Raw genomic sequence first — 17927 nt, 5'->3', positions numbered from 1 at the left:
TATCCACTTGTCCTCACTGTGTGTTGAGAAAACAAGATATCCTCCCAGCCAAGGAACTCAGAAAATGTGGCCTGATTATCCCCCTGCTGTTAATTACATATATTTTTAATCAGGTTTGCAAACATGGTAGAAATAGCACTGGACTTTAAGTAAAACAAGTGTATACTGAAATATCAGCTCTGTTCACTGCGTAACTATGCAACTTTGTGGAAATGAATATCTTAAGTTCTTTGAGCCTTATTTTCCGTATTTGTATAAAAGTTAATACTTACTTCATAGGGTTATTGTGAGTATTGAAATGAAGTAACATAGGATACAGTACAATTGCATATTAATTGGATTTAATTCCTAATTCATTTTTTTTCATTTTGATAACTGATTATTTTTTCTCTCTTTCCAGAAAAATATCATCTTTGGTAGCTAAACTCATCTAGTTGCTTCTTAAAGCAGGGGTTGACAACCTTTTTCTATAAGGTCATACAGTATATATTGATGACTTTGCAGCCCATATGGTCTCTGTCACAACTTTTCAACTCTACTGTTGCAGCAAGAAAATAGCCATAGACATTACATAAATGAATGGACTTGGCTATATTTCAGTAATTCTTTAATTAAAAAAAAAGAAATCCATGTGGTCAGATTTGGTGTGAGGGCCAAAGTTTGATGACCCCTGTCTTAGAACATGGGAGACAGTATTGCATAGCACTTTTATCAGAATGAAATGAGATAATGTTCACTCAAGACTGTGGTCCAGAGAGTTACTGATATATGATGATTCTTGAATGTTTGCATGTATACATTTATTATGTTAAAAGGAGATGTTTTTATTGTAGTTGTTGGTTCCTCCTCACCACCTCTTCTTCTTATTTCACTTCCTCATTCCCTTATCCTGGTTGTCATCATTCCATTGCAACTTCTCTATCCATGACACCCCATGTAATGGAGGCTACTTGGTTTACCTTCCCTCTCCCAACACATAAGCTTATCGATATTTGTTCTAGAAATTATAATGCCAGAGGAGGCAATATGCAAATTGTTGAGATATACCTATGTATGGAAAAATAGTAGAATACTTCACTTACATTCACAAAATATAAAATGTTTTATTTGGAAAGACTCACTTGAAATTAGAAAAAGATATTAGGCTTGACCTAAGAAAAACAGAGACTGAAAATGCATGGAATAAATCACACTCAATTAGCATAATGTTACCTAGATCAGCTATTAATCTCTATTTCTTTGAATAAATTGCCTACATAAAGGCTATTTTAAAATTCAGATCATAGGTTGAGCATAAACCTAATCAGTAAACTTTCCAAAGATGAATAAATCAATTTACTTCACTGTCCATAAACCCAGTGGCCTGAGGACAGTAGAATGAGGAACCCGATTTCTGCTGAGTATGTATATGTGCTAGGCACTCTATTAAGATCTTTGCATATGCTTTTTCATTTATTCCAAATTATATTATTAGCATGTTTTCCATATCTTTTTTTTTATTTCAATAGGTTTTGGGGACACAGGTGATGTCTGGTTACATGAATAATTTCTTTAGTGATGATTTATGAGGTTTTGGTGCAGCCATCACCCAAGCAGTTTTCACTGCACACAATGTGTAGTGTTTCGGCCCTCACCACCCCCAACCCTTTCCCCCCAAGTCCTCAAAGTCCAGTGTATCATTCTTATGCCTTTGTGTATCATAGCTTAGCTCCCACATATTAGTGAGAACACACAATGTTTGGTTTTCCAATCCTGAGTTACTTCACTTAGAATAATAGTCTCCAATTCTATCCAGGTTGATACTAATGCTATTATTTCATTACTTTTTATGGCTGAGTAGTATTCCATCATATATATATACACCACATTTTCTTTAACCACTCGTTTGTTGATAGGCATTTAGGCTGGTTCCATGTTTTTGCAATTGCAAATTGTGCTGCTATAAACATGCATGTGCAAGTATCTTTTTTGTATAATGACTTCTTGTCCTCTGGGTAGATACCTAGTAGTGGGATTGCTGGATCAAATGGTAGATCCACTTTTAGTACTTTAAGGAATCTCCACATTGTTTTCCATAGTGGTTGTGCTAGGTTACATTTCCACCAACTGTGTAAAAATGTTCCCTTTTCACCACATCCATGCCAATATATATTATCTTTTTTTTTTTTTATTTATGGCCATTCTTGCAGGAGTGAGGTGGTATCACATTGCAGTTTTGATTTGCATTTCCCTGATAATTAGTGGTGTTGAGCATTTTTCCATATGTTTGTTGGACATTTGTATATCTTCTTTTGAGAATTGTCTATTAATTTCCTTAGCCCACTTTTCGATGGGATTGTTTTTTTCTTGCTGATTTATTTGAGTTCTTTGTAGATTCTAGATATTAGTTCTTTGTTGGATGTGTAGATTGTGAAGATTTTCTCCCACTCTGTGGATTGTCTGTTAACTCTGCTAATTATTATTATTATTATTATTATTATTATTATTATTATTATTTGCTGTGCAGAAGCTTTTTAGTTTAATTAAGTACCATCTATTTATCTTTGTTTTAGTTTCATTTGCTTTTGGGTGCTTGGTCATGAAGTCTTTGCTTAAGCCAATGTCTATATGGGATTTTCTGATGTTATCTTCTAGAATCTTCATGGTTTCAGGTCTTCAATTTAAGTCTTTGATCCATCTTGAGTTGATTTTTGTATAAGGTGAGAGATGAGCATCCAATTTCATTCTCCATGTGGCTTACCAATTACCCCAGCACCATTTGTTGAATACGGTGTCCTTTCCACACCTTATGTTTTTGTTTGCTTTGTCAAAGATCAGTTGGCTATAAGTGTTTTGCTTTATTTCTGAGTTTTCTATTCTGTTCCATTGGTCTATGTGCCTATTTCCATACCAGTCCCATGCTCTTTTAGTTACTATGGGCTTATGGCATAGTTTAAAGTTAGATAATGTGATGCCTCCAGATTTTTTTTTCTTAGTCTTGCTTTGGCTATGTGGGCTCTTTTTTGGTTTCCTACGAAATTTCGGATTATTTTTTCTTGTCCTGTGAAGAGTGATGGTGGTATTTTTGTGAAAATTGCATTAAATTTGTGGATTGCTTTTGGCAATATGGTCATTTTCACAATATTAATTCTACTCATCCATGAGCATGGGATGTGTTTACATTTGTTTGTATAATCAATGATTTCTTCGCAGCATTAAATGCCTACATCGAAAAGTCTGAAAGAGCACAAATAGACAACTTATGGTCACACCTCCTGGAACTGGAGAAACAAGAACAATCCAAATTCAAACACAGCAGAAGAAAAGGAACAACAAAGATCAGAGCAGAACTAAATGTAATTAAAACAAACAAACAAAACAAAATACAAAGATAAATGAAACAATAAGCTGGTTCTTGGAAAAGATAAATAAAATTGATAGACTATTAGGGAGATTAACCAAGAAAAGAGGGAAGATCCAAATAAGCTCAATTAGAAATAAAACGAAAGATATTACAACTGATAACACAGAAAAACAAAAGATTATTCAAGGCTACTATGACCACCTTTATGCACGTAAACTACAAAACCTAGAGGAGATGGATAAAGTCCTGGAAATATACAACCCTCCTAGATTAAAGCGGGAAGATATAGAATCTCTATACAGACGAAAACAAACAATGAGATTGAAATGGTAATTTAAAAATTGCCAATTAAAAAAGTCCAGGCCTAGACAAATTCACAGTTTAATTCCATCAGACATGCAAAGAAGAATTGGTACCAATTCTACTGACACTATTCCAAAAGACAGAAAAAGAGGGAATCGTCTGTAAATCATTCTATGAAGTCAGTATCACCCTAATACCAAAGCCAGGGAAGGACATAACAAAAAAAGAAAACTACAGACCAGTATCACTGATAAACATAGGTTTGAAAATCCTCACCAAAATACTGGTAAACCAAATCCAACAGTTTATCAAAAAGATAATTCACCATGATCAAGTAGGTTTCATACCAGGGATGCAGAGACGGTTTAACATATGTAAGTGAAAAATTTGATATCTCACATAAACAAAATTAAAAATAAAAATTACATAATCATCTCACTAGCAAAAGCGTTTGACAAAATCCAGCATCCCTTTATGATTAAAGCCCTCAGGAAAATCGGCATAGAAGGGACATACCTTAAGGTAATAAAAGCCATCTACAACAAACCCACAGCCAACATTATACTGAATAGGGAACAGTTGAAAGCATTTCCCCTGAGAACTGGAACAAGACAAGGATGCCCACTTTCATCACTTCTATTCAACATAGTACTGGAAGTCCTAGCCAGAGTAATCAGACAAGAGAAACAAATAAAGGCATCCAAACTGATAAAGAGAAAGTGAAACTGTTGTTGTTTGCTGATGTTATGATCCTATACCTAGAAAACCCTAATGACTCATCCAGAAAGCTCCTAGAACTGGTCAATGAAGCCAGCAAAGTTTCAGGATACCAAATTAATGTACACAAATCAGTAGCTCTGCTATACACCAACAGCGGCCAAACTGAGAATGAAATAAAGAGCTCAACCCCTTTCGCAATATTATTAAGATTTTTTTAAATTATTTTTGTTTTTTTTTATTATACTTTAAGTTCTAGGGTACATGTGCACAACGTGCAGGTTTGTTACATATGCATACATGTGCCATGTTGGTGTGCTGCACCCATTAACTCGTCATTTATATTAGGTATATCTCCTCATGCTATCCCTCCCCACTTTCCCCACCCCACGACAGGCCCCAGTGTATGATGTTCCCCTTCCTGTGTCCAAGTGTTCTCATTGTTCAATTCCCACCTATGAGTGAGAACATGCGGTGTTTGGTTTTCCGTCCTTGCAATAGTTTGCTCAGAATGATGCTTTCCAGCTTCATCCATGTACCTACAAAGGACATGAACTCATCCTTTTTTATGGCTGCATAGTACTCCGTGGTGTATATATGCCACATTGTCTTAATCCAGTCTTTCATTGATGGACATTTGGGTTGGTTCCAAGTCTTTGCTATTGTGAATAGTGCCGCAATAAACATGCGTGTGCATGTGTCCTTATAGTAGCATGGTTTATAATCCTTTGGGTATATACCCAGTAATGGGATGGCTGGGTCAAATGGTATTTCTAGTTCTAGATCTTTAAGGAATCGCCACACTGTCTTCCACAATAGTTGAACTAGTTTACAGTCCCACCAACAGTGTAAAAGTGTTCCTATTTCTCCACATCCTCTCCAGCACCTGTTGTTTCCTGACTTTTTAATGATCATCATTCTAACGGGTGTGAGATGGTATCTCACTGTCGTTTTGCTTTGCATTTCTCTGATGGCCAGTGATGATAAGCATTTTTTCATGTGTCTGGAAATTGAGATACAATGAGTTTAGATTACATTGTTCAATATCACATGGCAAGCATTTGGTGGAACTTTAAAAATAACCCCAAGTGTATACCACTATTAATCATACATTTTACCTTTTCTTTTTCACTGACTTAATCATTTAGTTTTTAAAACGTCAAAATGAATTAACGTCCTGATCAGTCAAAACAATCAAATAAATCTGAATATGATGCATTCTAGTCTCTGAAAACTAACTACTGTTGCTACATTATACAGACTACACGTTGCACTGTATGAAATGTCTCTTAAAACATTTTTATAATTCTGTGAAGAAAGTCCATAGTAGCTTGATGGGGATAGCACTGAATCTATGAACTAATTTGGGCAGTATGGCCATTTTCACTATATTGATTCTTCCTATCCATGAGCATGGAATGTTTTTCCATTTGTGTGTGTCTTCTCTTATTTACTTGAGCAGTGGTTTGTAGTTCTCCTGGAAGAGGTCCTTCACATCCCTTGTGTGTTTGTATTCCTAGGTATTTTATTCTCTTTGTAGCAGCTGTGAATGGGAGTTCACTCATGATTTGGCTCTCTGTTTGTCTATTATTGGTGTACAGGAATGCTTGTGATTTTTGCACATTGATTTTGTATCCTGACACTTTGCTGAAGTTGCTTATCAGCTTAAGGAGATTTTGGGCTGAGATGATGGGGTTATCTAAATATACAATCATGTCATCTGCAACCAAAGACAATTTGACTTCCTCTCTTCTTATTTGAATATCCTTTATTTCTTTCTCTTGCCTGATTGCCCTGGCCAGAATTTCCAATACTACATTGAATAGGAGTGGTGAGAGGCAGCATCCTTGTCTTGAGGTGGTTTTCAAAGAGAATGCTTCCAGCTTTTGTGCATTCAGTATTATATTGGCTGTGGGTTTGTCAAGAGACCGTATAGCCAAGACAATCCTAAGCAGAAAGAACAAAGCTGGAGGCATCACACTACCTGACTTCAAAATATACTACAAGGCTACAGTAACCAAAAGGGCATGGTACTGGTACCAAAATAGATATATAGACCAATGGAAAAGAACAGAGGTCTCAGAAATAACACCACACATCTACAACCATCTGATTTTTGAACAAACCTGACGTAAACAAGCAATGGGGAAAGGATTCCCTATTTAATGAATGGTTTTGTGAAAACTGGCTAGCCATATGCAGAAAACTGAAACTGGACCCCTTCCTTAAACCTTGTACAAAAATTAATCAAGATGGATTAAAGAATTAAATGTAAAACCTAAAACCATAAAAACCCTAGAAGAAAACCTAGGCAATCCCATTCAGGACATAGGCATGGGCAAAGACTTCATGACTAAAACACCAAAAGCAATGGCAACAAAAGCCAAAATTGACAAATGGGATCTAATTAAATGAAAGAGCTTCTGAACAGCAAAAGAAACTATCATCAGAGTGAACAGGCAACCTACAGAATGGGAGAAAATGTTTGCAATCTATCCATCTGACAAAGGGTTAATATCCAGAATCTACAAGGAACTTAAACAAAGTTACAAGAAAAAAAACAGACAACTCCATCAAAAAGTGGGTGAAGGACAGGAACAGACACTTCTAAAAGGAGACACTTATGTATCCAACAATCATATGAAAAAAAGCTCATCATCACCGGCCATTAGAGAAATGCAAATCAAAACCACAAAGAGATACCATCTCACACCAGTTAGAATGGCAATCATTAAAAAGTCAAGAAACAACAGATGCTGGAGAGGATGTGGAGAAATAGGAATGCTTTTACACCATTGGTGGGAGTGTAAATTAGTTCCACCGTTGTGGAAAACAGTGTGGCGATTCCTCAAGGATCTAGAACCAGAAATACTATTTGACCCAGCAATCCCATTACTGGGTGTATACCCAAAAGATTATAAATCATTCTACTATAAAGACACATGCACACGTATGTTTATTGCAGCAGTATTCACAATAGCAAAGACTTGGAACCAACCCAAATGCCCATCAATTATAGACTGGATAAAGAAAATATGGCACATATACATCATGGAATATTATGCAGCCATAAAAAAGAAATGAGTTCATGTCTTTGCAGGGAAATGGATGAAGCTGGAAACCATCATTCTCAGCAAACTACCACAGGACCAGAAAACCAAACACCACATGTTCTTACTCATAAGTGGGAGCTGAACAATGAGAACACATTGATACAGGGAGGGGAACATCACACACTAGGGCCTGTTGGGGGGTTGGGGGCAAGGGGAGGGATAGCATTAGGAGAAATACCTAATGTAGATGATGGGTTGATGGGTGCAGCAAACCACCATGGGACGTGTATACCTATGTAACAAATCTGCACGTTCTGCACATGTATCCCAGAACTTAAAGTATAATTTTAAAAAATTATTTTTCCTAAACAATTAAGCTAGATCTGAGTTGGAAGTTGTACTCTCAGATATCAGAAAGTAAATCCTTGAAGGACTTCTGCTACTTTCTCTGTGGTGAAAATAGTTACACTTGAAAGAACCACTTACTTCTTTCGTTTTGGTCCCCAATAAAAAAAAATACATGCCCACATTTTCCTCAGATTCTTTGAAACTCCACTGGTAACTTCCTGTCTGTTCTAGTTTCTTGCCCCAGTATTCCCCAAGAAAAGATCAGTTAGCAATGAGTGTTTGATTGGTATGATTAACTTGTAAAGTGAAATAATGAGGAAATGTAACATTAAACCAACTTCAATGTGGAATTCTCAAGTATGGGAAAGACCAAAAATTAATTCAAAATGAACTTAACATTGCATAATTTTAGGTCAGATACAGTGGCTAATGCCTGTAATCCCAGCAGTTTGGGAGACCGAGACAAGAGGACCACTTGAGCCCAGAAGTTTGAAACCAGCCTGTAAAGCATAGTAAAACCCCATCTTTACAAAAAGAAAAAATTAAAAAAATTAGCTGGGTCTGGTGGTGCACATCTATAGTCCCAGCTATTCAGGAGGTTGGGACTGGAGGATTGCTTAAGCCCAGGAGTTCAAGGTTACAGTGAGTGAAACTCTAGCTCTAAAACTAGAGGGAGAGAGAGAGAGAGACAAAGAGAGAGTAATTTTTAAAAGCTTTTCTCTTACTGGTGTCAAAAATATTGTCATGCTTCTCTTTTCCATGGAGGTCCCCCTAGCATTGAAATAAGCTACCTATTAGCAAAGCACAGAAACAGGCGTAATCCTACTTAAATAGTGGATCTACAATTGCACATGCAGAGAGACCCTCATACTCATAATTATGTTTTGTCTTGGTCCGTTTAGTATTGCTATAAAAGAATATCTGAGGCTGGGTAATTTACAAAGGAAACAGGTTTATCTGACTCATGGTTCTGCAGGCTATACAAGAAGCGTAGTGCCAGCATCTGCTTTTGGTGAGGGCCTCAGGTAGCTTCCAATCATAGGGGCAGGTGAAGGGGAGCTGGTGTAAGCAGATTACATGATGAGAGAGGAAATAAGAGCGAGCAGGAGGAGGCACCAGGCTCTTTATATCAACCAGTTCTCACAGGAACTAATAGAGTAAGCACTCACTCACTCCCAAGAAAAGTCACCAAGCTATTCATGAGGGATCTTTCCCCATGACCCAAACATCTCCCACTATGCCTCACTTCCCAACACCATCACACTGGGAATTAAATTTCAACATGATATTTGGAGAGGGCAGACATCTAAACTATAGCATGTGTGGGAGCCTTTCTTCTGGATGCCTGTTTAATTGGAATCACCCTGGTCTGTGTATTCAGAGCCTTCTGTTTTAGTTTTCCCTTTGTAGCTAATCAAGTGGGTCTACTCTTTGTACTTGTGCCTGCTTATCTACTATGACTAATTAGCAATCACCTAAGTGTGACTTAAGTGATCGATTAGTGCTGTTGAGCGCTCCAAGCCTCAATTTGCTAAACGTTCTCATAGGATTGCAGGTACATAATAATTACTTCTGAAAAACTACCTGACCTTGTTTTTCCATTTTACTAGTCGAACTAAGCCATGCCTGCCTTAACATTTGTGGAAAACATAAATAACAATTTTTAATAAAGGCATTTAATAATAACTCAAGGAAAATATAATATAATACATTGCAGAATGAAGCATCATTTTGGAGCTAAAGTATAATTTTCTTCCTAAGCACTTATTTTCACTTTAGCAGAAGAAATGTTTCTTTTGTCAGTGTATCGCCCCACCTTTCTAAATAATAAATTATTTGATGATGTCAATGAGATTCTTGTGAAGAAAAACCATACAGTGCCACCCTCAGACACAAACATGAAAAGAAATAGAAACGATATGTTTTGTTTGCTATCCTCATGAGTGCCTCAAAAGGATGATTTATTAAGGATAGGCTTTAGAAACTAAAACAATGCTTGTTTTAGTGTTAAAACAAACAAAACAACAAGATGAAGAAAAACATTCTTATTGACCTGAGCTACGAAAATCAGGACTCAACTCCGCTCAGCTTCATTATTTAGAGATTATGATTTACGATGACGTGGCACAAAAGAAACTATTAAAAGGACATTGTATTTTTTAAATCTTACTCCATACCTAAAGCACAAAAGTGAAACTATATAAACTGTTTAAGCAGTTGTGGGTGAATCCACATGGAATATATGCAGAGTATATATTATTTTAAAAATAAAACCACATTGTCCTCTAATGCATGATGTATTTTTAGAAAGCTGTCTGAATGTAGTGAAATTTACAGAATAAAAATGTGGTAGGATAAGTTGGGTAGCAAATGCAAACATTCACCTAGAAAACCTAAACCTAGCGCCTACTACATTCCAGGAATATTTTGTAACTCCAAGGAAGCAATAGCTTAATGGAGGAAAGAGAGAAATAATTTTACTGACGAGAGAAAGTAAAATATATCTGAATACAGGTTTGACCTTATCTACTTATTTCTTTTCCACAAAGTTTCAGGCACTCTGTAAGTGCTGTAATACAGAGACGCCCTTATTTAAAAAGGGCCTAGACTGTCTTATAGTGAAGCAGACATTTAAACATAAAATTCAGCGTAAATTTGATATAATGCAGACTCTGAGAAAATACTACGGTTTACAAAAGGGTCATGTTCCCCTGATCACCAAACTCATCCCAATACATACCTACCCACCAAGTGGACACTATATTAGTTTTGCTGAAAAGAGATTGTATTTCTGAAATTACATTTGTTAGAAGCAATTTTGTATACATACATGTGTCTACCACCTTATGATCATGACTTGATTTGTTCCTCCACTTCACTTTACCATATTCAAGCAGTCAGATCTACTTTTGTCTTTCTCCCAATACGATTTTCACTATGATCTGAATGATTTTTTATCTCCCTAAAATTTATAAGTCAAAATGCTAACCTTGAAGGTGATAGTATTAGGAGGAAGTGACAGAGGCAGGGCCCTCATGAAGGAGATTCGTACCATTACAAAAAGGGGCAAAGAGAGACCCTTTCACCAAGTGAGAATACAGCAAGAAGGCACCATCTATGACCTCGAAAATAAGCCTTCACCAGACACAACATCTGCTTTGATCTTGGATTTCTGAGCTTCCAGAACTGTGAGAACTAAATCTCTGTTCTTTATAAGTAACCCAGTTTATATTATTTTGTTACAGCAGCCCAAATGTTAAGACACCATCTGAACTACATTCTAAACCACAATTCGATATCACCATTCTCAGTTACTCAGGCTCTAAAGTAACGTATATGGTAAAGCCTCCAGGCATATACCTTCACCACTGCTCTCTCCCAACAGAATATGGAAAATACAAGACCAAGGCAGCCTTTTTACATTAAGCTAAACGTTTTTTTCCCCAGTACCACCTGTTTCTCTTAATGAGTTTCTGGTCCTGTTGATGTTATTGCCATAAATTTCATATCTAATTATCAACTATTACATGGTAAAAGACATTGTGTGTTGGAATGTTTTCTAAAAAAAAACCCAAAAAACAAAAAACATTGAAACAGATGAATAGGTGAGTCCTCTATAATGTGTATAAACAGACTGCCAGCACAATTCCACATACTGACAATTAGTTGCACTTGAATGAAAAAATAGCCCTTTTTTTTACTGTAATTAGGTACAACATGCAGATTATACTACCTCCGATACAAACTATACGGAACTCATTTACAATATATGAAGAGGTTCAAAAATGTTGCTGTCATTTTGAGTTATATTCAGGTATAAAATCTGGCTCAAGATATTACCTTGGAGGAAAAAAAGAAATTGTCATTTCAAGTTGGGACACGTTATCCTTGAACCTAATTTTTCAGCCAAGTAGTGATCCCTATGTTTCTATTTTAGATCATATTACTCATCACGTTATCTATGATCTGCATAAGATGCTAAAATGGTTTTGACATATCAGAGGAGCATCAGTTGCAAATTTTCAGTCCCAGTTAAAATGGCATGCTGTCTTTGACCTCCTCCATTTTTGGGGGACAACTTTAGATAGTTAACTTAGTTTCTAAAATCATTGATAAATGTATTAAAATACTCAATGCATGTCCTGTTATGGTAATCTCAGGAGAGAAGCCACCTAAAAACTTTCATCTCTTGAATCAAGTTTACAGTGAGAATGATACACTACCATTCTGAAAGGACAGTGGAATGGACAAGGAAAACACCACGACCAACACAAGTTCTAGGTGTTTTTCATAAATTATAGATTAAAATTAAGGATACTGGTATATCTTAACAAAACTAAATAATAAGCATCTGGATAGCAGGAGTTACACTTAACCATCATTTGTACCTCTCTGCCAGATCCTATTCAGGGGGTCTGCTTCTGTGTTACCATCTTACATTTATGGTAGGAAATGATATACTCAAAAGTGCAGGCCCCCTGAAATAAAGCCTAATGCTCTTCCTTTATGCCTTGATATGTAGTCTCCAAAAGAAAATAGCAAACTGAGAAGAATTTAGACATCATTGGGCATAGAAATGCCTCTATCTCAGCTGTGGATGGTGGAAAATGGTGGGTGTGCATGCGTGCATGCATGCGTGTTTGCGTGTGTGTGTGTGTATAGAGGATGGGGTTGATGGTAGAAGGGCACAAAATATATAATCTCATGAATATCAACATTTTCAATCTCCTGTAGAAGTATAGATCTATACTAGAGCCTTGACAAAACTTACAGTTTATTAATGATAGCCACCTCCTGGAAATTGAGTCTAGGATACATAATCATCCATTGCATTATTGCACTCTTGTAGCATCTTTACAGGTGATAACTTTGTGTGTGTGGTGGGGGATGTGGGGAAGGGTCGGGTGTTGGGGAGGGTTGGGATGGGCAAGTTATCTTGTTCTATCCATCCAGAAACTGGATAGAATCTCAGAATAGAAAGTGGTCACCTTCAGGCTGAACTGAAATCCCTTTTAAAAGAAAATAACATTTCTTTTTTTTTTCATAGCCTCAGAGTAATGCATATTATTTTACATGAAAGTAATAAAACATCACTGCTAATATAAAAAGATCAATCATAGAGACAACTGAGATTCAAAATAAATAATGCCAATTCAGCCCATTATTTTGCTTCTACTTTGTATTCTTTTGTTTTGAGAGTATTTACTCACTAATTTTTTGTAAGTATTATGTTACATGTAGCACATCCATAAAGTTGATAGAGGAGATGAGTGGTTGCCTTCAAGGCAGTCCTGTGAGAGTGTTAAGGATGAATATTTTTTAACTTTTAATTTTTGTTGGTACATAGTAGGTGTATGTATTTATGGGGTACATGAAATGTTTTGATACAAGCATACAATGCGTGTAATGATCACATCATGGAGAATGGGGTATCCATCTCCTCAAACATTTATCCTTTGTGTTACCAACAATCCAATAATATGGACTTTTAGGCTTTTTTAAATGTACAATAATGTTATTATTGACTATAGTCAACCTGTTGTGGTATCCAATAGTAGGTCTTATTCATTCTTTCCATTTTTTGTACCCATTAACCATCTCTACCTTCCCCACATCCCCCAAAGAAAGAATGGCAGTTGAAAACTGTAATACATGATATAAGAAAATACCTTAAGAGAGGCAATGAATCTGTTCTCTGAAAATTCAGAGGAAGCTAGCACTTGAAGTTAAGGGGATCAGGAAGGGGGCACATGGAGGCAATGGCTTTTAGCACAGCTCTAATTCGGGGGTTAGATTTACACATAGGAAGCCTGGGAACAGGCTTTCCAGATGGTGATTACTGAGAGGAGATATGTTGGAATGGGGTGGCAGCTTCTTAAGATAGATGCATGTTTTATAAGTTCTTGAAGGCCGGGTTAAGGAAATCAGTTACAAATAGTTTACATGTTTAGTAGCATAATAAATATAATTTGATGCCATAGATACAGTCCAAGCCATTCTCCTTTCAGAAGCTAGAGGGATTTTTTAGAAACAAAAACCTGATGATGTCACTCTTCTGCTTACTTGTGCCTTTCTTCTTTGACAAAAACGTCCCCAAATCTTTACAGGCCTACAAGATCCTCATGACCTTACCGTTACCTCCCTTTGCCGTTACATTTTATGGAACATCCAATCTGCTTTCTGCATTTCTTCCAGACTGGGGCTCTTGCTGGTACTGAAAATACGCCTTACGTTTTCCCACATTGAGGTCTTTTCAAATCCTTTCCCTCTTTCAGAATATTCTTCCTTCTAAACTTTGACTGGCTTATGCTTACTCACGCGTCAGAGCTCAGCTAAAATATCACTTTTCTAATGCTCCTGACTAGGCCTGCTATAAACCCTGTCATCTATTCTCTTAGCAAATTTTGTTCATAATACTTCCAACAGTTTTTAATAATTAAGTGATCCCACACATGAAGATTTACATGTACTGAGCAATCAGTATGTACCAGGCATTATCCTTACTGTTCAATGAATGTTTGCTGAATGGATGCACAAATGAATGAATATATTAATCAATGAAATTAGCCAAGAAATATAAATTAACAACTTAAATTTTATCCAGTTTATATTCATACTTCCTTTTAATCTCTAAATTATAATATCTTCCCATGTGACTACTGGAAGCTCTAGCTTGTCCCTTAAATATAAAGGTCTTCAGGAAATTCTAATGTGTTCCATTAATCGTTCCTGGATGTAATCCAGCAGAAAGCATATGAAATTTGGATAATAATAGCCAAAATGTATTGGGTTATTACCATATGCCAAGGATTATTTACATATATCATATTTGTAAATATATAAAACATCTTTGTATTCCTATCTACCTCTGTGCATGTGTGTGTGCTTATGTATATATTCTCAATGCTCACAACACCTCAATGAGGCTGATTTAGTGTCACTCATATGTTACAAAAGTGGAAACCAAGACCCAGGTAAAATAAATGACATCCCCAAGTCTGTATGTGGTGGAACTTAAAGGTGGAGACTGGAAAGGGCAGCCCTCACATTCCCTAGTCCAAAGCCTCTCCATAAGGGTTTCCTACTAAGTATCTTTCTCTGACCTACCGTCCACAATCATATTGTTGTGACTACTTTACGTCCTCTAAACAGAAGTACTCCTGCCAATAGAGTTGTCAGAAAAAACATGTAACATGTCTCATGCCAATAGAGTTGTCAGAAAAAAATTCAAGTTGTCCAGTTAAACTCAAATTTCAGATAAACAACCAATTTTTTAAAATATAAGTATGTCCCGGCCAGGCGCGGTGGCTCACGCCTGTAATCCCAGCACTTTGGGAGGCCGAGGCGGGCGGATCATGGGGTCAGGAGATGGAGACCATCCTGGCTAACACGGTGAAACCCCGTCTCTACTAAAAATACAAAAAAAAAAAAAATAGCCGGGCGCGGTGGCGGGTGCCTGTAGTCCCAGCTACTTGGGAGACAGAGGCAGGAGAATGGCGTGAACCTGGGAGGTGGAGCTTGCAGTGAGCCGAGATAGCGCCACTGCTCTCCAGCCTGGGTGAAAGAGCGAGACTCCATCTCAAATAAATAAATAAATAAAAGTATGTCCCAAGTATTGCACAAAGCATTCACCAAAAAACATATTTTTATTGCGAAATTGAAATTTAACTGAGAATCCTGTATTTGTATTAGCTAAAACCTTACTGAATGAAATCCAGTCCCTTCACCTCCTCCCAGAGTGAGGAGACAATTTTTCCTTTTCTCTGTCACAAGCCCTGCTCTCAACTTCTCATTTCCTATCTTAGTAGGCTGTGGATAACTGTTTCTGCTTTGCTGGTCCATTCTAAGTGGGTCTTCTACCTCTTTATTTACAAAGCAGAGCACATTTTTTTAACTTAATCTCAGTTTATATAGTGCCACATATATGAACACTTCTCATCTCTCCCTATGCCTATACCCTTACTCTCTGTTCCCAGACCATTTCACTCCCTCGTCTCTCAACAAATTATAACTCATGAGGATTAAAAAACTGGGAAATTATCAGTTTAATTGGCTTACTCACCTAGAGAGAACATGTTTCTTAATTTCTGGGGTTTTTTTCCCCCTATCTCAATTCTGAGCACATATTTCTTTAAGTAGTTAGTGTTCAGTAAAGATTTGATTGCCAAATTCTATGTTTTCTTATAATGTTCTTTATAGAGATATGTTAGGCAGCACATTTCTATCATAGAAGAAGGAGTCAGGCAGGTCACTCAGGGTGGCAGTTATTAGGAACTTTCCTGAAGGAAAGAAGAAGAACAAGCCCCATATTAGAATATAATGCCCGGTGAATATTGACAGGCCGGGAGTGTGTACTTTGCGTAGATTTGCAGATCATCAGAGCTAGAAAGGCCATCAGATATGCATGAGAAAAGAGAGGATCTTTTGTTAATGTGTACAGTGATCAAGCTGTGCCATCGGAAAATGTATTGTGGTCCAATCACTGAATCTGGGCTCTAATTTTTAATAGTAGCACAATAGTTGAGAAGTAATTTATCCCTCAGGTACTTTATTTGTCTCTGAAATGGAGATAATAATACTGAGCTATTTACCTCACAGAATTAGTTTTAATGATTAAATAAAATTATATAGGTGACAGCCCTCTGCAAACTGTCGAGTGATATGTGAATACAAGGAAGTATAATTTGTAGCCACTCCTCCTGCAAGGAGGGTTGAAGTTGATGCTTTTGAGGTGGCCGTTTTCCTCAGGGTTAATGCAGAGCCAGTGACCCAGCCCTTTGTTGGAGCCCTGTCTTCCAGATTTGGGTTACTGTAAAAATAATTAAATAAAAAAGATTTAAGACAGCTGCTCTGATCATCTGTAGTCATTAAAAAGATTAGAGGGTTTTCCTTTCTGTCCTAATAATACTGTATTAGTCTCAGCCTCCTGACCAAATTTCAGTCTCAGTAATTGTCTTCCTTCTTACTGTCCCTTAATGGGGTTCAAAAGGTTAATTAGTTGTTTGCAAAATATTAAAGTACTTAAGGGAGGTAATCTAGCAAGACAATAGCTAAATGTAGACCCTTGGTGAATAACTGAAAAGACAGTTGATATAAACAGCTAAGGAAATGGTAATTTCTATTACCATTCTACTAGTATAATAAAAGGTGATTTCAATATAAACTTAAACCTTCTTTTGCAAAAGATGTGTTTGTTATAAACAATGATATAGCGAACTTTAAGATTAAGGACTTTTTGATGTCAGCCTAAAGCTTTTAGCACAAAAAAGAAATATTTAAAAATAAATAATGAAATATAATATCATATTGTCCTTGCAACTAAAATAAATTGATAGATGGTAAGGCAGTAATTTGTATTGACTTAAATAACAAACCATATTAGGACCCTGATATATCCTCAAAGGTGAGAATGTGTTTGTGCATAGTTGTGCACTAGCATATTTTACTGGAATCTATTTCTTACAGATATTGCCTTGACTCATTTAACAGAAATCAATTTACATTATACAAGTATATAATTATATTTTCATATGTATAGCCATTGAGAAGCAGTATATGTTTCTTCTTTTTTGTTTGGTGTTCGCTTGGTTATTTTCCTGTACGATTGTAAGAGGCACAAGCTGGAGATTGCACTAGCAGAAATGACAGAAGATCAGGTGATTGCTATCTGAATCTTTCAGCATATTGCAGCTAGGTGGCCTCAAGGACAGTAATATTTGGTCGATAACATGAAATATTTTAATTGTCTTTGTAACATACACACACACCCCACACATATATATGCATATACATATATATTTTTGTGTGCGTATGTGGGAATGTAATGCATATTTAAATTATGTTATCATTGTACACATTTCCTGCCTATCACTTCTTTTTGCCTGTCAGTAATGACCCTGTAATTTTATTTGAGGGGTGGGAGGGGAAAGTAGCTAATTGAGTAAGTCTGAAATCAAAGTCCATTTTCTAAGTATCCACAAATTATTTAGACAAATTAAATGAAAATACAATCTATAATAAAATAAGAATACAAAAATAGAAAAATGAACAATAAAAACGTGCTAACCACAAGTTCAGCCATGCTCTTTGACAGCCATGGAAGAAAGAAAACAGTTGGTTCTAAAAGATCCTGTTCGAGGAAAGAAGAAACGTTAACTTTTTTC

The sequence above is a fragment of the Homo sapiens genome, chromosome X (genome assembly GCF_000001405.40).
Source record: "Homo sapiens chromosome X, GRCh38.p14 Primary Assembly".
Taxonomy (NCBI): Eukaryota; Metazoa; Chordata; class Mammalia; order Primates; family Hominidae; genus Homo; species Homo sapiens.
This window is presented reverse-complemented; position numbering follows the sequence as displayed.